Below are 23,391 nucleotides of genomic sequence, written 5' to 3'. Positions count from 1 at the left end.
CAATTCTATTTCTATAAAAGGTCCAGATTAGGCAAAACTACAATGACAGAAAATAAATCACTGGTTGCCTATGAACATGGGGTACGTAGGAGGTAGCGGCTAAGAGGTGAGGGTTTCTCACTCATAAGTGGGTAACTCACAAGTGGGTAATCACTTCTAAGAAAGACTGTGGTGATGGATGCACAGCTCCTTGAATATTCTAAAAACCACTCAATTGTATACTTTCTTTTTTTCTTTAGTTATTTAAAGACGGTCTCCTTTTGTCACCCATGCTGTAGTGCAGTGGTGCCATCTGGTCTCACTGCAACCTATGGCTTCTGGGCTCAAGTGATCTTCCAGTCTCATGTCCCCAAGTAGTTGGGACTACAGGCATGAGCCACCACACCAAGCTAATTTTTGTATTTTTGCTAGAGATGCTGTTTTGCCATGTTGCCCAGGCTAGTCGCAAACTCCTGAACACAAGCGATCCACCTGCCTCAGCTGCCCAAAGTCTTAGCGTTATAGGAATTAGCCACTGCACCTGGCCTGAATTGTGTACTTTGATAAATGAATTGCATGATACGTTAATCATATTTCAATAACGTTATTATTTTAAAAATGGCTGGGCATGGTGTGGTGACTCACGCCTCTGATCTCAGCACACTGGGAGGCCAAGGTGGGTGGATTGCCTGATTTCAGGAGTTCGAGACCAGTCTGGCCAACATACTGAAACTCTGTCTCTACTAAAAATACAAGAATATTAGCTGAGAGTGGTGACATGGGCCTGTAATTCCAGCTAGTCGGGAGGCTGAGGCAGGGGAGTTGCTTGAACCAGGGAGGTGGAGGTTGCAGTCAGCTGAGATCACACCACTGCATTCCAGCCTGCATGACAGAGTGAGAGTCCGTCTCCAAAAGAAAGAAAGAAAAAGAAAATGGGCATTGAACACAGGTGGCTCCCACATACATATAATCCAAGCACTTTGGGAAGCTGAGGCAGAATGATCACTTGAGGCCAGGAGTCTGACAACATCCTGAGCAACACAGCAAGATCCCATCTGTACAATAAAAAATAAAGAAGTTAGCTGGGAATAGGGGCAAATGTATGTAGTCCCAGCTACTTGGGAGGCTGAGGTGGGAGGACTGTTTGAGTCCGGGGTTTCAGGCTGCAGTGAACCATGATCATGCCATTGCACTGCAGCCTGGGTGACAGAACAAAACCCTGTCTCTAGAAAGAAAAAAAAAAGAAATCCAAGTTTTTATCACCTTCTGAGAGTAATCAACATTCAGGAGGAACATAGAAGAACAAAAGACCACTGAATGGTTGAGGGTGGGTTGCTGGTTAGGTTCAGTGGCCAGCTGAGTAGTATCTGAAAAATTCTTTAGTAAAATTATGGCACTAGGGGTGAGTCATGCAGTCGAAGGATGAATACTAAATCCAGTACAAACACCCATGGTCTTTCTTTACATGAATTCCAGTGAAAAATTTCTAAGTGCCTAAAATAGCAAGTGGTCTGAAATGATGGCAGCAGTTTATTAAAGACTGAAAAAAGAGGCCAGGCACGGTGGCTCACACCTGTAATCCCAGCACTTTAGGAGTCCAAGGCCAGTGGATTACAAGGTCAGGAGTTCAAGACCAGCCTGTCCAACATGCTGAAACCCCGTATCTACAGAAAATACAAAGCTTAGCCGGGCATGGTGGCATGTGCCTGTAGTCCCAGCTACTTCAGAGGCTGAGGCAAAAGAAATGCTTGAACCCGGGAGGCAGAAGTTGCTGTGAATTGAGATTGTGCCACTGCACTCGAGCCTGGTGACAGAGGAAGATGCTGTCTCAAAAAAAAAAAAGAAAGAAATGGCATCTTCAAGAACCACAAGAGAGTTCCACGCTGAAGAAGCTCTGATTCTGCATTTGCTGAACTACTGATTTGAGTTAGCCAATATAACACTATCTTAGATAAAGTGTACAAACAACTCAATTTCATCTCCTCATTAATAACTGATTAGTCTAATATCAATTCTGATTTTTAAAAAGCTAATTAGAAAAAGAATTAATTATAGAATCAATAAGAGGTTTGAATAGTTACAAGCTATTCAAAGGAGAATTCAAAAAACCATTCAGGTATGAGGCCATAAAGTATGATGAAATAAATTTCATTAATATATTTTAAAATAAACTGATTAGACAGGCAACAACACCTGGGCACGGGTCTCCTCACCTCCAGCAACACAAACCCAATCGCGCAGCTATGGGGTTGCAAAGGCTGCATAGTGACAAACAGACTGCTCTGAGCTGAGATTTCTTTACTTGTATCTGTATTCTGAGACCGGGTCTCACTCTGTCACTCTGGCTGCAATGCAGGGGTGCACTCATAGCTAACTGCAGCCGTGACCTCCTGGGCTCCGGGGATCCTCCTGCCTCACCCTCACCATAGCTACGGCTACAGATGAACACCAAAACACCCAGCTAATTTTTTTTTTTTTTTTTTTTTTTGTAGAAAGAGGAGCCTTGCTATGTTGCCCAAGCTGGCCTCAAACTCCCGCCCTCAAGAGATCTACCCACCTCAACAACCTAAGTAACAGGTTCTACAGGAAAATACCACTATGCCGGGATAATTATATTTTATTAATTTTTATTTGCATAGACAGGAAGTCTTGCTGTGTTGCCCAGGGTGGTCTCAAACTCCTGGACTCAAACCATTCTCCCATCTCTGCCTCCCAAAGTGCTGAAGCTACGGGCATAAGCCACTACACCTGGCCCGACTTAAGATCTCTGTAATCTAGCATCCCATACTTCATATAATTGGGAAAAGCAGTAGTGGTTTTTTTTTAATTACTTAACATTTCAACAAGAATCAACCATCTCTCACCATTGCCAGGGCCCTGGTCAGAACCACTATCATCTCCCACCTGGAGGTTGCCACAGCATGGCCTCCCTGCTTCTACCCAAATCTTCCCACAATCTTTGTCAACTCAGCTGCCATGGGATGCTTTTAAATCAGTAGACAGTTCGTGTCAACTCTCTGCTCAGAACCCTTCCGCATCTCCCATCTCAGACAGAATAAAAACCAAAGCCCCAGCAATAGCCTCCCAGGGCTTACACAATCTGTACTGATCTGAGTCCAACAACTCCCTGGCCTCCTTCCCTACTTCTCTCCCTCTCTCTACTCCACAGACCTCTTTCCTGAGCTTCAGACACACCACGGAGTTCCCTCTTAGCATCTTTATTCTGTTGTTTCTGCCTAAAATGCTCTTCCCTCAGTACCTTGGCCAGCTCCTTCCCCTCCTTCAAGTCTTTGCTCAATTTTCACTTAGGAGGCCAACCCTGACCACTCTATTTAATATTGCTATCTGTCCCTATTCCTGCCATGCTCACTCATTTCTTTTTTCTTTTTTTTTCTAAGATATAATCTCGCTGTGTCACTCAGACTGGGGTGCCATGGCACGATCACAACGCACTGAGACCTGGAGCTCCTAGGTCAAGAAATTGTCCTGCCTCAGGGCCTCTAGTAGCTAAGACTACAAGTGCATGCCACCACACCCGCTAATTTTTTTTTTTTTTCCATGTAGACAGGGTATCATTTTGTTGCCCAGACTTATCGTGAACTCCTGGGCCAAAGCAACCATCCTGCCTCAGCCTCCTAAATAGCTGGAATTATAGGTGTGGGCCACCAATTCTGGCTTCATGTTCATTTCTTCTTGCCGCTGTTACAAACTACCCTACATTGAGTGGCTTAATACACCACAAATCTACTCACTAAGAGGTCTGGGGGCCAGAAGTCCAAAATAGGTCTATTAAGGCTAAAGTCAAGGTGCCAGCAGGACTGCATCCCTTCTGGAGGTTCTGGAGAGAATATGTTCCCTTGCCTTTCCCAGTTGCTAAAGCCACTCCTATTCTTTGGCTCATGGCCCCTAACTGCATCTTCAAAGCCTGAAGCAAAGCATATTCAAATCTCCCTCTGTGACCTGTGCTTCCATCATCAAATCTCCTTCAATTCGGACTCTCTTACCTCCCTCTTTCACTTATAAAGACCTCTTGTGATTGCTGGACACAGAGGCCGTGGCTCACAACCATAATCCCAACAGTTTAGGAGTTCAAAGCAGGAGAAACGCTTGAGGCCAAAACTTCAGGACCAGCCTGGGAAACACAGCGAGACCCCCTCAATTAAACAACAAAAAGAAATAAGAAAAAATTAGCTGGGCATGGTAGTATGCATCTGTAGTTTCAGCTACTTGAGAGGTTGTGGTGAAAGGATCGCTTTAGCCCCAGAGTTCAAGACCAGCCTCGGCAATATAACAAGATCCTATCTCTACAAAAAAATACAACAATTAGCTGGGCATAGATGGTGTGCACCTGTAGTCCCAGATGCTTGGAAGGCTGAGGTGGGAGAATTGCTTGAGCACAGGTGGTTGAGGCTGCAGTTAGCTACAACACCATCACTGCACTCCAGATTGGGTGAAACAGAGACTCTGTGTTCAAAAGAAAAAGAAAAGAAATACACATTTGGTTTCTGCCCCTCATCCTGGCAAAGAGCTTCTCAAGCTCTTATAAAGGCCTTGGTGATGAAAGTGATGGGGCATCTTCTGTTTCAATATTTGGTCTTAGTCCCAGGTTTCTAACACAAGAGCCTCTAAGACCTTTGGGATCACCATAGTAAGAATGCATTTGGTGATGTTACTGAGATGACTGGGTGACTGAAAGCTTGTAGACAGCTTCAGAAAAAGGGGTGGTTGTTGTCAGAAGAACAAACCATGTGATTAGAGGCTTGGAACTGTCAGTCTCACCCCCTGGGCTCCAGGAAGAAATAGTGGCCGAAGACTGACTTAATCACCAATGGTCAATGACTTCACCAATCATGCCTGCATAATGAAGCGTTCATAAGCGCCCTCAACAGCTGGAGTTGGAGAATGTCTGGGTTGCTGAACACAAGGGAGATACCAGGAATGTAATATGCACAATAGAGGACATGGAAGTTCTGTACCCCTCTCGACATACCTTGCCCTGTGTGTTTTTTATTTTTTTTTTGAGACAGAGTCTGGCTCTGTCTCCCAGCCTAGAGTGTCATGGCACAATCATGGCTCACTGCGAACTATGCCTCCCTATCTCAAGCCCCATCCTCTCATCCTCTCACCTCAGCCTCCTGAGTAGCTAGAATTATAGGCACTGAGTAGCTAGAACTATAGATAACTGTGCCTGGCTAATTTTTAGAAAAATCTTTTTGTAGAGATGCATTTTCACCTTGTTACCCAGGCTGGTCTTAATCTCCTGAGCACTTAAGTGATGCTCCCGCCTCAGTCTCCCAAAGTGCTGAAATTACAGGCATGAGCCACTGTGCCCAGCATGTACATCTCTTTCACTGGCTGTTTCTGAGATTTAGCCTTTAAAATGAACCAGTAAAAGAAAGTAAATTGGTGAGATGCAGTGGTTCATGCCCATAATCCCAGCATTTTGTGAAGTTAAGGTGGGAGGATCACGTGAGCCCAGAAATTTGAGACCAGCCTGGGCAACATAACAAGACCCCATCTCTACAAAAAGTAAAAGAACATAGCCAGATATGCTGGTACAGGCCTATAATCTCAGCTATTTGGGAGGCTGAGGTGGAAGGATCACTTGAGCCCAGGAGTCCCATGCTACAGTGAGCTTTGATCACACCACTGCATTCCAGCCTGGCAACAGACTGAGACCCTGTATCTCAGAAAAAAAAGAAAACAATCTGTTTTTCTGAGTTCTGCAAGCTGTCCGAGCAAATGATTCCACCCACCAATGGGGGTCATGAAACCCTGTTTTCTAACTGGTTGGTCAAAACTACATGTAACAACCCAAGACTTGCAATTGGTATGTGGAGTGAGGGTAGACTCCTGGGACTGAGCTCCCATCCTGCAGGGTCTGCACTAACTCCAGGGAGTGTCAGGATGGAATTGTGGGATACCCAGTTGGGATCCAGATTGTCTGAAAATCAGTGTAGAAACTCCACATGCACATTTGGTCAGAGGTGTTTGACCGTAACTACTATTCATGAAAAAGTTCTACTCATTAGAACTAAAAATCACAAAATTGTAAGTTCTACAAAAACAAATCAACCTTATCTACCGCCCAGTCCTACCGAACTACAGAATGTGAGAACAGAAGGTCTGACCATGGAGTCGAGAGCTGACAGGAATGTCACCACCATCCTGCTCTCCAAGGACTCCTCATCTTCAACAGACTCCTCATCTTCAATGGGCAGGATGGAAACTGCAACTTGTGCCATGATCCTTGCACAAGAAAAGTAGTAAGAAAATGAGTGGTAGAAATCCAGTGTCCTAAACTCACATCCAGAGCTGTGAGAGTTTTTTACTGGCTGGATAATTCACAGTTATCTTGAATCAGGGGAAAAATAAGACTCAGAAACTAGGAATTCATTTTGCCCAAAACTCTCATCAGATACAGAATCCATCCGCTAACTATCTAGTATTATTTCCATAAGTTAGATCAATTATCACTCCCAAAACAAATGCACATGGCACCCAGAATCTGTGCATTTCTCCCAGGTAAAAGAGGAGGTGGATGGGCGCAGTGTCTCATGCCTTTAACCCCAACACTTTGGGAGGCCAAGGTGGGTGGATCACCTGAAGTCAAGAGTTCAAGACCAGCCTGGCCAACATGGTGATACCCTGTCTCTACTAAAAATAAAAAAAGTTAGCCAGGTGTGGTGGCATGTGCCTGTAGTCCCAGCTTCTTGGGAGGCTGAGGCAGGAGAATCACTTGAACCCAGGAGGCTAAGGTTGCAGTGAGCAGAGATCGCACCACTGCACCTCAGCCTGGACGACAGAGTGAGACTCTGTCTCAAAAAAAAGGAGGGGAGGAAAGGAGGCAAGGCACTTTACAACCCAGTGATGGGCTACCACAACTCAACACAGCAAAGAGTTGCCAAGCTCCCTTTCTCCCCTGCACAACCAGACACAGAAGAGTTGGTGTAGTGGAATGAGGCTGGATGGAGAGAAGTTCTTCTTCTTTCTTTCCTTTTTTTTTTGAGATGGACTCTCACTCTGTCACACAGGCTGGGGTGCAGTGGTGCAATCTCGGTCACTGTAACCTCTGCCTTATGGGTTTAATCAATTCTCTGCCTCAGCCTTCCGAATACCTGGGATTAGAGGCACCCCCCACCACACCCAGCTAATTTTTTTTTTTTTAGTGGAGACTGGGTTTCACTATGTTGGCCAGGCTGGTCTTGAACTCCTGACATTAGGTGATCTACTCACCTCGGTCTCCAAAAGTGCTAGGATTACAGGCATGAGCCGCTGTGCCCAGCCAAGAAGTTCCTCTTCTTACTTAGAAAACAGATCACAGGGCATCAAGTAACACGTAAAATCCTCTATAATAAGCAGTATTATTTTTGGAAAACATTTCCTAATATTTTGGTATCAGTGAAAAGCCTCAGATTAATTTCAAACACTATAAAAATACAATACATAAACAGAAAATATTAACTGTCAGCAATGCTATAGAGAAATTGGAAGCTGTATGCATTGCTTTTTGGAATGTAAAATGGTACAGCCCACTGTGGAAAATGGTTTAGCAGCTCCTTAAAAATATGAAGCATAGAATTATATGATCCATCAACACCCTTTAAGCGTATATACCCAAAAGAACTGAGAGCAGGGACTCAAACAGGTATTTGTACACCCGATTAACAGCAGCATTATTCACAGTGGCCAGAAGGTAGCCCAAACCTAATGCCCATCAGTAGGTGAATAGATAAAGAAAATGTAATATATACATACACAGAGTATTATTCAGCCATAAAAAGAAAAATATCTGGCCAGATTCAGGGGCTTACACCTGTAATCCCAGTATTTTGGGAGGCCAAGGTGGGCAGGTCTCTTGAGCCCCATATTTTGAGACCAGACTGGACAACATGGCACATTTGGTTAGAAGTGTTTGAACATAACTACTATTCCAGAAAAAGATCTACTCATTAGAACTACAAATCATAAAATTATAAGTTCTACAAAAAAAAAATCAACCTTATCTACCACCCAGTTCTACCAAATTATATCATGTTAGAACAGAAGGTCTCACCGTGGACTCGAGAGCTGATATGAGAAATGTCACCACCATCCTGCTCTCCACGGAATCATCTTCAACAGACTCCTCATCTTCCATGGACTCCTCATCTTCCATGGGCAGGGTGGAAACTGCAAATTGTGCCATGATCCCTGTGCAAAAAAGTATTAAGAAATTGAATGCTAGAAATGCAGTGTCCTAAACTCACATCCAGAGCTGTGAGAGTTTCTCACCGGCTGCCAAATTGTTTTTTGGGTCAGAGAAAAAAATAAAACTTGGTAACCTGGTACTCGACTTGCACCAAACTCTCATCAGATAGAGAATCTATCTGCTAACTTTCTATCTAGTATTATTTCCATGAAGTTACATCAATATCACTCTCAAAATAAATCCAGGTGGAAGACTAAATCCAAAGCTAGCAGAAGGAAAGAAATAATAAAGAGCATAATTAGAGCATAAATCAATAAAACAGAAGGTTGGAGAGCAGTAGAATGAAAAAATGTAGATTCTTTGAAAGATCAAGCCTTTCACTATATTGACTGAGCAAAAGATGGAAGACTAATTATTAAAATGATAAATGAAAGCAGAGCCATTACTACCAACTTTACAGAAATACAAAAGGATTACAGGAGTATACTGTGAACAACTGTCTAGCAACAAATTAGGTGCCCTGGATGAAATGGATGAATCGCTAGAAAGACACAAACTACCAAAGTGGCTCAAGAAGAAAGAGAAAATCTGAATAGACCTATAACCTAGGAGATTGAATTAGTAATCGAAAGCGATTAACAAAGAAACATTTATGACCAAATAGCTGCATTAACTGGTGAGTCAACCTAACATTTAAAGAAGAATTAATACCATTTCTTCTCAAACTCTTCTGACAAAATATATGAAGAAGGAATACTTGCTAATTCATTTTTTGATAACAGCATTATCCTTATACCAAAGACAAAGAGAGCACAAAAGAGAGAAATACAGCACTATATCCCTTATGAATATATAAGCAAAAATCTCAGCAAAATACTAGCAATACTAGCAAAATACTAGCAGCAGCAATACTGTATAATCAAAGGATTGTAAACTATCACCCTTTGAGATTTATCCCCAAAATGCAAGGGTGGTTCAACATATAAAAAATCAATCAGTGTAATATGCTGTAACAGTAAAATGAATAAGCACGTGATTATTTCAATTGCTGCAGAGAAAACATTGATGAAATACAACACCCTTCTATAATAAAAATACTCAATAAACTAGGCATAGAAGGGATCTTCTGCAACATGACAATGGGATGTACAAAAACCCAACAGTTAATATCATGATCAATGATGAAACACTGAAAGCTGTTTTCCTAACATCTAGAAGAAAAGGATGGTGCATTTGCCACTTGTATTCAACGTAGCACTGGCAGTTCTAGCCAGAGCAATTAGGCAAGACAAAGAAATAAAAGGCATCTAAATTAGAAATAAAAAATAGGTGTAAAATTATATCTACACATGATCTTATGGGTATAAAGCTCCAAACAAAACACAAAACCGATTATAACTAATAAAAGAGGCAGGATGCAAACAAACATAGGCAAATGAGCTATATTTCTATATAGTTGTAAAGAACTATGAAAACATTTTAAAAATTCCATTTATAATGACATCAAATAATACGTTATTCAGGCATAAATCTAACCATGGTGGTATACATAAAACATTGCTGCAAAAAACTAAAGAGAGTGGAAATAAGTGGAAAGACATTCTGTGTTCACGGGTTGTAAGACAATATTGTTAAGATGACAATACCATCTAAAGTAATCTACAGATTCAATGCAATACCATCAAAATCCCAAAGGCATTTTTGCAGAAACAAAGAAACTCATTCTAAAATCATACAAAAATTCAAAGGATCTGACAGACAAAACAGTCTTGAAAAAGAACATTGGAAAACTCACATTTTTCAGTTTCACAGCCTACTACAAATCTACAGTAATCAAGAGAGTGTGGTACTGGAATAAGACCAATAGACTTTCAGACCAATACAATAGAACAGATTTGAGATCCTACAAGTTAGTCCTCACATATATGGTCAATGACTGTTCAACAAGGTGGCCAAGTCTAGTCAAGGGAGGAAAGAACAGTCTCTTCAACAACTGGATGTCAGTGCACAAGAGAGAAGTTAGACCCCTACTTTGCAGTATATACAAAAATTAATTCTAAATTAATAAAATACTTAAATGTAAGGACTAAAAATATGTAACTCTTAGAAGAAAACACACGGTAAACCTTTATGACCTTTGAGTTTTAAGTGTATTTTGAAATATGACAGAAAAGCACAGATAACAAAAGAAAATACACGAAAATTAGATTTAATCAAAATAAAAAACCCTTTATGTATCAAAGGATACTATCAAGGAAGTGAAAAGACAACCCATAATATGTGAGAAAATATGTATCTGATAAAATCAAAATGTGTATCTGATAAAAGCTTAATATTCCACAACTCAACAACAGAATTTCTAAGATCCCAATTAAAAAATAGGCAAAGGACTTGAACAGACATTTCTCCAAAGAAGATACACAAATGTCTAAGAAGGAAAAGAAAAGATGCTAAACACCATTATTCATTAATAAAATGCAAGGCAAAACCCAAATGAGATGCCACTTTGCATCCACTAGTAAGGCTTTCATAACAACGACACAGAAAATCAATGTTGCTAAGGAGGTGGAGAAACTGGAGCCCTCATGAACTGGCTGCTAGGAATAGAAAATGATGCACTTGCTGTGGAAAACAGTTTGGTGGTTCCTCAAAGAATCACACAGAGAAACAGGCGCCGCTGGCTTGCGGGTTCTCCTGGGCTGGCGCGGGACGTCCCGGAATCACAGGCGCGCACTCCTTCCCGCCTGAGGGTCCGCCTGGCCGTGACTCCCGCCCCTCTCCTCCTCCGAAGAGAGATCGGGGCCGCCCCAGGGGCCGTCTGCAGCCACCGGGGATGGGGCTGAGGGTCGGTTCCTGCCCCGGTGCAGCCGCCCCTGGGCAGACCGCCTGGCTTGGTCGCAGCCATGGCGACATCTAGCTCCGGTTCTGCGAGGCTGGGCGCGCCAGCCAGCTTGGGAGTCGCCCGGCGCCTGTAGCTGGGCTCCCAGGTGGTGAAGCATGCCCTGGGCGGCCTCTGGATCGCGGGTGCCCCTGGCCTGAGAGCCTGCCAGACCCTGCCCTGGCCCGGCTCCTCCTCTGTCAGAGCTCCAGATCTCTATCCAGGGGCCCTCTGCAGCCACCGGGGATGGGGCTGAGGGTCGGTTCCCGCCCCTGTGCAGCTGCTGCAGTACAGACCGCCTGGCTTGGCCACAGCCACAGGGACATTTGGCCCTGCTTCCAAGATGTGGGGAGTGTGGGCGGGCTCGGGAGTTGCCTGGAGGCTGCTGCCTGCACGCAGAAGGCGGCTGCAGCTCGGGTGCCCAGGCAGGCTGGAGGTGCATGGCCTGGTCGGCCTTGGGATCGCCAGCGCGCCAAGCCTGAGGGCCCCCAGGCCATGCCTCCCGACCACTCCTCCACCTGAGGGAGATCGGAGCCGTTTATATGGGCACTCGGCAGTCACCTCGTGTGGGGTTGAGCGGTGGGTTCTCAGTTCTCGCTCTTGTGCAGCTGCTGCCGCAGGGCAGAATGCCTGGCTTGGCTGCAGCCACTGGGACACGTGGCCCTGCTTCTGTGATGCTAGGAGCGCGAGCGGGCTCGGGGGTTGCCAGGCAGATGCTGCCTGCACACAGGGGGCGACGGCAGCTTGGGCGCCCAGATGGCAGAGCATGGTTTGGGTGGCCTCTGGAATGCGTGCGCGCCAGGCCTGAGGGTCACCCTGGTGGGGCCACATACCCCGGTCTTCCTCTGCTGGAGCCTGGAGCAGCTGGAATGGCCACTATTCCGTCACAGGGGATGGAGTTAAGTTTTCTTATCCCACCCATGCACCCAAAAGGTGACTATTCTGTGAGGTAATAAACGTGTTAATTGACTTCATTCATGCCACTCTGCATCCACAAGTAAGGCTTTCATAACAATGACAGAGAAAATAAATGTTGCTAAGGAGGTGGAGAAGTTGGAGCCCTCATGATCTGGCTGCTAGGAATAGAAAATGATGCCCTTGCTGCGGAAAACAATTTGGTTGTTCCTCACAGAATGAGCATTGGGTGAAAAATGAAATCAAGATGGAAATGTAAAAAATGTCTTCGAACTGGATGACACAACCTATCAAGACCTCTGGGGTACAGCAAAGGCACTGCTAAGAGCAAAGTTTGTAGTCCTAAAAACCTACATCAAAAAGTCTGAAAGAGCACAAACAGACAATCTAAGTTCACATCTCAGGGAACTAGAGAAGCAGGAACAAGCCAAACCCAATCCCAGCAAACACAGGAAATAACAAAAATCAGAGCAGAACTAAATGAAATTGACACAACAACAACAACAACAACAAATACAAAACATAAATAAAACAAAAAGTTGGTTATTTGAAAAGATAAATAAAATTGGTAGACCATTAGCAAGATTAACCAAGAAAAGAAGAGAGAAAATCCAAATAACCTCACTAAGAAATGAAACAGGGGATATTACAACTGACACCACTGAAATATTAAAGATTATTCAAGGGTACTATGAACACCTTTTGGCACATAAACTACAAAACCTAGAAGAGTTGGATAAATTCCTGGAAAAATACAACTCCCCTAGCTTAAATCAGGAAGAATTAGATACCCCAAGCAGACCAATAAAGCAAGCAGCAAGATTGAAATGGTAATTTTAAAATTACCAGCAAAAAAAGCTGAGGGCCAGACAGATTCACAGCAGAATTCTACCAGACATTCAAAGAATGTCTTCTTTCATTCAAGGAAGAAATGATACCCATCTTTTCATACTATTCCACAAGACAGAGAAAGAAGAAACCCTCCTTATTCATTCTATGAAGCCAGCATCACCCTAATACCAAAACCATGGAAGGACATAACCAAAAAAGAAAACTACAGACCAATATCCTTGATGAACTCAGATGCCAAAATCCTTAACAAAATACTATCTAACTGAATCCGACAACATATCAAAAAATAATCCACCATGATCAAGTGGGTTTTATACCAATGATATAGGAGTAGTTTCACATATGCAAGTCAATAAGTGTGATACACTAAATAAACAGAGTTAAAAAAATCTAATATGATTATATCAACAGGTACAGAAAAAACATTTGACAAAATCTAGCATTGCTTTATGATTAAAGCTCTCAGCAAAATAGGCATACAAGGGACATACCTTAATGTAATAAAAGCCATCTATGACAAACCCACAACCAACATAATACTGAATGGGGAAACGGTGAAAGCATTCACTTTGAGAACTGGAACAAGACAAGGAGACTACTCTCACCGCTCCTCTTCAACATAGTACTGGAAGTCCTAGCCAGAGCAATCAGACAAAAGAAGGAAATAGAGGAAATCCAAATCGGTAAAGAGGATGTCAAACTGTCACTTGTTGCTGATGATATAATCTTTTGCCTAGAAAACCCTACGGACTCCTCTAGAAACTTCCTAGAACTGATAAAAGAATTCAGCAAAGTTTCCAGATACAAGATTAAGGGACACAAATCCGTAGCTCTTCCATACATCAACAGCTACCAAGCAGAGAATCACATCAAGAACTCAACCCCTTTTACAATAGCTGCGACAAACAACAACAACAAAAAAACAAAACTTAGGAATATACCTAGCAAAGGAATCAAAGGACAGCTACAATGAAAATTACAAAACACTACTGAAAGAAATCATAGATGGAGCCAAGCACGGTGGCACACGCCTATAATCCGAGCTACTCGGGAAGCTGAGGCAGGAGAATCGCTTGAACCCGGGAGGCAGAAGTTGTAGTGAGCCGAGATCACACCATTGCACTCCCACCTCAGCGACAAGAGCGAAACTCCCTCTGAAAAAAAAAAAAAAACAAGAAAGAAAAGAAGTCATAGATGACACAAACAAATGGAAACGCATCCCCATGCTCATGGATGGGTAGAACCAATATTGTGAAAATTACCATTCTGTTAAAGGCAATCTACAAATTCAATGCAATCCCCATCTGAATGCCACCATCATTCTTCACAGAATTACAAAAACAATTCTAAAATTAATATGGAACCAAAAAAGAGCCATGTAACCAAACCAAGCCTAAGCAAAAAGAACCTGGAGGTATCACACTACTTGATTTCAAACTGTACAATAAGGCTTACCTTATTGTTACCAAAACACCAACGTACTGGTTTAAAAATAGGAACATAGACCAATGGAACAGAAGAGAGAACCCAGAAATTAACCCAAATACTTACAGCCAACTGATCTTCGACAAAGTAAACAAAAACATAAAGTGGGGAAAGGACCCCCTTTTCAACACATGATGTTGGGATAATTGGCGAGCCACATGTAGGGGAATAAAACTGGATTCTCATCTCTCATCTTATACAAAAATCTACTCAAGATGGATTAAGAACTTAAATCTAATTCCTGAGCTATAAAAATTCTAGAAGATAACACTGGATAAACCCTTCTAGACATTGACATACGCAAGGATTTCAAGACCAAGAACCCAAATGCAAATGCAATAAAAACAAAGATAAATAGCTGGGACTTAATTAAACTAAACAGCTTTTGCATGGCAAAGGGAACAGTCAGCAGAGTAAATGGACAACTCAAAGAGTGGGACCCCTGAACCTGACCCTGATCCCTAACCCCTGACCCTGATCCCTAACCCCTGAACCTGACCACTAACCCCTGACCCTAACCCTAACCCCTAACCCTAACCCTTAACCGTAACCCCTAAGCCTAACCCCTAACCACAACCCTCACCCTCACACTAATCCAACCCTAACCCCTTATCCCTAACCCCTAACCTCTCTTAACCTCTAACTCTAAACGTTGTCTCTTAACTCCTAACTCTGACCCCAACCCCTATCTCCAACCCCTAACCCTAAACTTAACCCCTAACCCCTAACCCTAACACCAACCTTAACCCTAGGTTCTTTACTACGTTTGTACTATGTCAATGTTGATTATTATGATCTCTGTCTTAGGACTGCATAGCAGCAAGGGGATTGCGGATCTTATATTAATATTTTTGTATTGAGGCAGTGCATTAGCATTACAGGTGCTTGTTACATGAGCAATGGGGGTGTCATATTTTGGGTGTCATGTCTGCATTAGGAATGCTGCATTTGTCTTCCGAGGCTGCGGTGTGGATCTCGCACTGCGGCTGCCTTGGCTTGGCTGGGGAGAACCTCGGTTGGCAGGATTCAGAGGGGCTTTTGGTTTCCCTTTTCCACACTGAGCCCTTCTAACTGGTCTCTGACCCTGATTATTCAGGGCTGCAAAAGGGAAGGATTTTATTCACCGTCTATGCGGTCCCGAGTTGTCCCAAAGCGAGGCAGTGCCCCAAAGGTCTGTGCTGAGGAGAACGCTGCTCTGCCTTAGCGGTGTCCCCCGGGTCTGTGCTGAGCAGAACGCAGCTCCGCCCTCGCGGTGCCCCCGGCCCGCCTGGGTCTGTGCTGAGGAGAACACTGCTCCGCCTTCGCTGTATCTCTGAAGTCTGTGCAGAGGAGAACTCAGCTCCGCCCTGGCGATGCTCTCCTTGTCTGTGCTGGGAAGAACGCAGCTCCGCCCTCGCAAAGGCGCACAGCGCCGGCGCAGGAGCAGAGAGGCCCACAGCGCTGGCGAAAGGCGCAGAGAGGCCCACAGCGCCGGGGCAGGCGCAGAGAGGCCCACAGCGCCGGCGCAGGCGCAGAGAGGCCCACAGCGCCGGCGCAGACGCAGAGAGGCAGAAGGCCCATGAGGGGAAGGTGAGACACCTGGGGCAAAGAAGAAAAAAAAATGCGCCGCGAAGCGGTGTCTGGGTCATCCGGGGACGAAAGTTTTTTCCCATCAGCCCTTGCGCTGGGCCCCAGGGACCCGGGCATCCCTGGTTCACGCCCAGGGTGTGCCTCAGGCGACTAGGGGTACCCCAACTTGGACAGAAGGCCCATGAGTGGAAGTTGAAGTTTGTGGGAGGAGAGGTGAGGCACCAGGGGCAGAGAAAAAAAAAAAAAAAAGAGGACCGCGTCTCAGAGAAGCGGGGCCTGGGTCCCCCACGGATGAAAGTGCCTTCCCATCAGGCCCTATGCTGGGCCTGGTGGACCCTGGCGACCCTGGTTCGAGCCCAGGGTGCGCCTCGGGACAGCTTGGGGTACCACAAAGCGAACAAAAGGTCCATGAGGGGAAGGTGAGGCACCTGAGGCAGAGAAAAAAAACGCTCAGCCGAGAAGCAGTGCCTGCGTCCCCCACGGATGAAAGTGCCATCCCATCAGCCCCTTCGCTGGGCCCTGGGGACCCTGGCGTCCCTGGTTTGACCCTGGGGTACGCCTTGGGACAGTAGGGGTACCCCAAGGTGGGCAGAAAGCCCCTAAGGGGAAGGTGAGGCACCTGGGGCAGAGAAAAAAAGAAAAACTTCGCCGCGGAGAAGCACGGCCTGGGTGCCCCACAGACGAAAGTGTCTTCCCATCAGTCCCTGCACTGGGACCCAGGGACCCTAGTGTCCCTCGTTCGAGCTCAGGGTGTGCCTCGGCCGCTAAGTGCACCCCAAGGGGGGCTTTGGGGACACAAAGCCCGTGAGGGGAAGGTGAGTTTTGAGGGAGGAGAGGTGAGGCACCTGTCACAGAAAAAGAAAAAAAAGAAACCCGCGCCGCGGAGAGGTGGGGCTTGGGTACCCCACGGATGAAAGTGCCTTCCCATCAGCCCCTGCACTGGGCCCCGGGGAACCTAGAGTCCCTGGTTCGAGCTCAGGGAGAGCCTCGGGCCACTAGGGGTACCCCAACGCGGTGGAAAGCCCATGAGAGGAAGGTGAGCTGTGAGGGAGGAGAGGTGAGACACTTGTGGCAGAAAAGAAAAAGAAACCGCGCCACGGAGAAGTGGGGCCTGGGTCTCCCATGGGAAAAAAGTGCCTTCCCATCAGTCCCTGAGCTGGGCCCCGTGGACCCAGGCGACCCTGGTTCTAGGCCTGGGTGCACCTCGGGCCCGCTAGGTGTACCCCAAAGCGGGCAGAAGGCCCATGAGGTAAAGGTGAGGTTTGAGGGAAGAGAGGTGAGGCACCTGCGGCAGAAAAAAAAAAAAACGTGCGGAAGAGAAGCGGGGCCTGGTTCTCCCACGGACGAAAGTGCCTTCTCATCAGCCCCTGCGCTGGCCCCCTGGACTCTGGCGACCCTAGTTCAAGGACCAGAAGAGACTCTGGCATGCTAGGGTACCCTAAGGAAGCCAGAAAGCCCACGAGGGGAAGGCGAGATTTAAGGGAGGAGAGGTGAGTCACTTGTGGTAGAAAAAAAAAAAAAAAATATATATATATATATATATATATATATATATACATATATATATATGTATATATATATATATACATATATATATATATATGTATATATCAGCACCTCGGAGAAGCCGGGCCTGGGTCCCCACTGATGAAAGTGCCTTCCCATCAGCCCCTGCGCTAGCCCCGAGAACCTGGCGACCCTGATTGGAGATCCGGCAGCGCCTCGGGCCTGCTCGTGGTACCCCAAAGCAGGCAGAAGGCCAATGAGGGGAAGGTGAGGCACCTGGGGCGGAGAAAAAAAACCGCAGCTTTGAGAAGTGGGGCCTGGGTACCCACGGATGAAGGTACCTTCCCATCAGCGCCTGCGCTAGGCCCCGGTGACCCTGGCATCCATGGTTCGAGTCCAGGGAGCGCCTTGGGCCGCTAGGGGTACCCCAAGTCGAACAGAAAGCCCATGATGGGAAGTTGACGTTTGAGGGAGGAGAGGTGAGGAACCTGTGGCAGAAAAAAAAAAGAAAACAAGCCGCGCCTAGGAGAAGCTGGGCCTGGGTCCCCCAAGAGTGAAAATGCCTTCCCATCAGTCCCTGCGCTGGGCCCTGTGGACGCTGGAGACCCCGGTTCGAGCCCCGGGTGCGCCTCGGGCCTGCTAGGGGTAACACAAGGCGGGCAGAAATCCCAGGAGGGGCAGTTGAGGTTTGAGGAAGGAGAGGTGAGGCACCTGTGGCAGAAAAAAAAAACTGCACCACGAAGAAGCGGAGCCTGGGTCCCCAACGGACGAAAGTGTCTTCCCATCAGCACTTGCGCTGGGCCCAGGGGACCCTGGCATTCCTGGTTCGAGACCAGGGTGTGCTTCAGGCCGCTAGGGGTACCCAAAAGCAAGCAGAAGGCCCATGAGGGGAAGGTGACGCACGTGGGGCAGAGAAAAAAACAACAACAACTGTGCCTCGGATAAGCGGGGCCTGGGTCCCCCACAGAAGAAACTGTCTTCCCATCAGCGCTTGCACTGTGCCCCGGGGACCCTGGTATCCCTGGCTCGAGCCCAGCGTGCGCCTCGGCCTGCTAGGGGTACCCCAAGACAGACAGAAGGCCCATGAGAGAAAGGTGAGACACCTGGGGCAGAGAATAAAATAAAAAACTGTGCCGCCCAGAAGTGGGGACTGGGTCCCACATGGACGAACGTCCCTACCCATAAGCCCTGCACTGGGCCCCGGAGACCCTAGCATCCCTGCCTCAAAACAACGGTGTGCCTCGGGTCGGCTAGGGGTACCTCAAGGCGGGCAGAAAGCCCATGACGGGAAAGTGAGGCAACTGGGGAAAAAAAAAAAAAAAACGCCACAGAGAAGCAGAGCCTGGGTCCCCGAGGAAGAACGTGTCTTCCCATCAGCCACTGAGCTTGGCCCAGTGGAATCTGGCTTCCATGGTTCGAGACCAGGGTGTGCCCCGGGTCGCTAGGTGTACCCCAAAGCGTGCAGAAGGCACAAGAGGGGAAGGTGAGGCACATGGGGCAGAGAAAAAAAAAACCTGCCACGGAGAAGCGGGGACTGGGTCTTCCACACGGACGAAAGTGTCTTTCCATCAGGCCTTGCGCTGGGCCTCAGGGACACTGGAGTCCCTGGTTCGAGCCCACAGTGCACCTCGGGCCGCTAGGTGTACCCCAAGGCAGACAGAAGACCCAAGAGGGGAAGGTGAGATTTGAGGAAGGAGAGGTGAGGGATCTATGGCAGGAAAAAAAAAAAACCGCGCCACGGAGAAGCAGGGCATGGGTCCCCCACAGACGAAAGTGCCTTCCCATCAGGCCCTGATGGTTTGAGACAGAATGAGGAGTGACTAATGTCTACAGGGTTTTTCTCTGGTCGGGGGTGATAAGACGTTCTACAATGGATTGCGAATTAAAATTGAATGTGCACAACCACAGGTATACTAAAAGCCACTCAATTCATGACTTTTAATGGGGGAATCTTATGTGGCGCACTCTAATGGAGACCACGGCAGACATAGTGAGAGAGAAAAAGGTGAGTAAATATCTGAAACGGAGGCAGAAACAGAGAGAATGAAAAGCCCTGTGAATGGAAGGGAGAGCGAAAAGGGAAAATGGTCCTATTTACAAATGACAGATGTGAAACCGGGGTTCACATCAACAGTGTCACTGCCAGGAAGGAGGGTCATGCTAGCCATGTCACCGGTAGTGTGTCCCGCAGGGACGCCGACCTGCTGGAGCGTCGTGCCAGCATGGGCTCTGGCAGCCACGTGGGCCAGCAGGAGGGTCCTGCTGCACAGCTGTGGGGTGAGGATAGACTGGGTGGTGATATCGGCCATTACAGGGGCCTCTTCTGCTGGCAAAAGTGTGACAGTAGCAAGTAGATGGACAGGCCTGCGTGTGAGGACGGAATGCAGGAGGGGCTCTTGTGCGGCTGGTTGTGGGGCCCTCACCGGAAATGTGGAGAAATGGCCATGTAACTGCGTCATGTGGGCTAGTAGATTGGCCAGGGCTTCGAACTGAAGGACAATAACGGGGAGTAGCTGTCAGGCCCTGGGAGTGTCTGAGTGTAAGTGGAGATGGGTTTGGGGTCACTGAGGGATGCGTGGGAGCCATCCCTGTATAGGTACAGGTCATAGGGAGATAGTCTCGTGAGGCCTGTGAGTGTCTAGGGTTGTCCTGGGTGCCTGGGGCTGACTGTGGCAGAAATCCGGGGAAGGCTGGAGAGAAGCTGGGAGACCCAGGAGAGTCCCTGAAGGCAGGGGGTGAAGAGGTGAAAGAAATGGGGGAGGGTTGCAGTAAGGTCCGTGAGTTTGTAGGTGATTCCTGGGTGCGGGAAGCTGACTCCAGGTGAAATCTGGAGATGGTTGGAGAGTAGCTGAGAGAGACAGAAGAGTCCCTGAGGGCTGGGGGTGAGAACATGAGGGAGACTGGGGAGTAAGTCAGTGAAATTCGTGAGTTCGGTGGTGTATCGTGGGTGCCTGGAACTGACTCCAGCTGGAATCTAGAGAAGTTTTGACAGTAGCTGAAAGAGACACAAGAGTCCCTGTGGGCTGAGGGCAAAGACCTGAGAGAGACCAGGGAGGACCTCAGTGAAGTCTGTGAGTCTGTAGGTGATTCCGGAGTGTGGGAGGCTGACTCCCGCTGAAATCTGGGCGTGGTGGGAGAGGAGCTGGGACAGACAGGAGAGTCCCAGGGGGCTGGGGGTGAAGACATGAGAGAGACTGGGGAGTAACTCAGTGAAACTGCTGAGTTTGTAGGTGATACCTGGGTGCCTGGAACTGACTCCCGCTGAAATCTGGGCATGGTAGGAGAGTAGCTGGGACACACAGGAGAGTCCCTGAGGGCTGGGGGTGAAGACATGAGAGAGACCGCGGAGTAACTCAGTGAAACTGGTGAGTTTGGTGGTGACTCCGGGGTGCCTGGAACTGACTGCAGCTGAAATGTGGGCGTGGTTGGAGAGTAGCTGGGACCCCCAGGAGAGTCCCTGAGGGCTGGTGAAGACATGAGAGAGACTGGAGAGTAATTGAGTGAAATTGGTGAGTTTGGTGGTGATTCCTGGGTGCCTGGAACGGACTCCCGCTGAAGTGTGGGCGTGGTTGGAGAGTAGCTGGGACACACAGGAGAGTCCCTGAGGGTTGGAGATAAAGACGTGCTAGAGACTGAGGAGTAACTGAGTGAAATTGGTGAGTTTGGTGGTGATTCCGGGGTGCCTGGAACTGACTCCAGCTGAAATGTGGGCGTGGTTGGAGAGTAGCTGGGACAGACGGGAGGGTCCCTGAGGGATGGTGAAGACATGAGAGAGACTGGGGAGTAACGCAGTGAAATTGGTGAGTTTGGTGGTGATTTCTGGGTGCCTGCAACGGACTCCCGCTGAAGTGTGGGCGTGTTTGGAGAGTAGCTGGGACAGACAGGCGACTCCCTGAGGGTTGGAGATAAAGACGTACTAGAGACTGGGGAGTAATTCAGTGAAAGTGGTGGGCTTGGTGGTGATCCCTGGGTTCCTGGAACTGACCCGCGCTGAAATGTGGGCGTGGTTGGAGAGTAGCTGGGACAGACTGGAGGGTCCGTAAGGGCTGGGGGTGAAGACGTGAGAGAGACTGGCGAGGATCTCACTGAGGTCTGTGAGTTTGTAGGTGTTTCTGGGGTGTGGGGTAGAGACTCCTGCTGAAATCTGGGCGTAGTTGGAGAATAGCTGGGACAGACAGGAGACTCATGGGTGGCTGGGGGTGAGCTGCTGGATGATGGCAGTAAGAACATATGGTATATTATTGATGAATGAGGTGACTGTGAAGAATCTCCAGAGGAGGACACGGGAGAACACAATGACATGAGTGACTGTCCTGCTTGGTTAGGAAAGGGAAACGTAAAGCTGTGGAATTCTGTTGATGATGGATGTGAGAGTGGTGAAGCCCTGCGGGGTGATGTAGAGTACTTCCACATCTCTGGTGAGGAGCTGCCCCTTGGGTCTGAGTTTCTGGGAGGGGAGAGGGAGAAGCTGGGTGAGGCAGGCATGAATCTTGAGGAGTCAGGGCTGGGGGACCGCTCATATTCTCCCGAGACCTGTGAGTCTCTGGGGGACTCCTGGGTGCATGGGACTGACTCCCGCAGGAACCTGGGGATGGCTGGAGAGTAACTGGGAGCCACAAGAGAGTCCCTGAGGCCTGGGGGTGAAGAGATGAAAGACACAGGGGTGGAGCACCGTGAGGCTCGTGAGTTTGTAAGTGATTCCTGGGTGTGGGGGACTGACTCCAGCTGAAATCTGGGGTTGTTTGGAGAGTAGCTGGGAGACACAGGAGACCCCCCGAGAGCTGGGGGTGAGCTGCTGGGTGATGGCAGTAAGAGCATGTGGTATATTATTGATGAACGTGGGGGATCTGAGGAATCCTCAGAGGAGGACACGGGAGAGCCCAATATCTTCATTGATTGCCCATCAATCAATACTTCTTTAACCTGACGGAAGAACTGATCTAAAGGCTTTAGTACAGTGCATGATTATGTGAGATGTTTTGAGACAGAGTAGTACATTTGTGAATGAAATTTTATGGCTTATTTTCGCTTAGTAGGAACCATTGTGTGTGGAAAAGTGAGGAAATTGCTTTCTGCTGTAGAGTCTGGCATTCATTGTAGATTTAAGCTTATTTTCCTGTGAGCAAATCTTATTCAATAAAATACTACTCTTTATACTGAAAAACAAAAACACTGGTGATGTGAGGTCATTATCCTCAGCAAACTAATCCAGGGAAAGAAAACCAAACACCACATTCTCACTTATAATGGGAGCTGAAAAATGAGATCACATGGACACAGGAAGGGGAACAACACACACTGGGGCCTTTCGGGAGGCAGAGCGTTAAGAAAAACAGCTACTGCATGCTGGGCTTAATACCTAGGTGATGGGTTGACAGGTGCAGCAAACCACCATGGCGCACGTTTACCTTAGTAACAAATCTGCACATCCTGCACATATACCCCGAACTTAGAAACGAAACGAAATAAAAGAAAACGAAAAAGCAGTAACAAAACGCTAAAGGCAAAATAAAGTTTCAAACTCAGAAAGTGACAGACCAATGTTTGGTTCAAATCATGGGTTCTCAACCCAGGTGCCATAAGGTCAGAATAAAAAATTTGATTATGTATTGTAAATAAGACATGCAGCAAATGACCAGAGAGATTATTCTCAACATATGTGTGTCTTCTAATTCAATGGTGACGCTATCTACAGGGACATACCATTAGATTCCAAAGGGCCGAGTCCCGCCAGACAGGCCTCCCACACTAATAACAATGGGAAGCCCCACGTTGTTTTACCTGTGCTTCTCAGCAACTGGCTATAAATCAGGTTGCCACCACTCCCAGATTTAGTTGCATTCATTTGCTGGAAGAGCTCACAGCACGCAGGTAAACACTTACATTTGCCGTTGTATTTTAGCGGACATTGCAAAAAGTTCAGAAATAAATGTGGGGCCCGGCATGTGGGGAGGGGCGCACTACCTTCCAGGAAGTGTTATCCAGAAGCCCTCTGAACCCAGTCCTTTTGGGTTTT

The 23,391-nt window shown here is 47.2% G+C and overlaps 1 pseudogene, besides 1 other annotated feature; it reads right to left on the bottom strand.

Moving 5' to 3' along the window:
* Positions 7,819-8,019: a silencer, noted in NCBI's record as "peak4330 fragment used in MPRA reporter construct". NCBI's record gives its function as "represses an SCP1 promoter by STARR-seq MPRAs in K562 erythroleukemia cells {active_cell/tissue: K562}" and the evidence as "EXISTENCE:reporter gene assay evidence [ECO:0000049][PMID:32103011]".
* Positions 10,504-11,970, bottom strand: LOC107985475 (translation initiation factor IF-2-like; annotated as a pseudogene).
* Between the last annotated feature and the right edge of the window lie 11,421 nt (positions 11,971-23,391).

The sequence above is a fragment of the Homo sapiens genome, chromosome 21 (assembly GCF_000001405.40).
Source record: "Homo sapiens chromosome 21, GRCh38.p14 Primary Assembly".
Taxonomy (NCBI): domain Eukaryota; kingdom Metazoa; phylum Chordata; class Mammalia; order Primates; family Hominidae; genus Homo; species Homo sapiens.
This window is presented reverse-complemented; position numbering and strand designations above follow the sequence as displayed.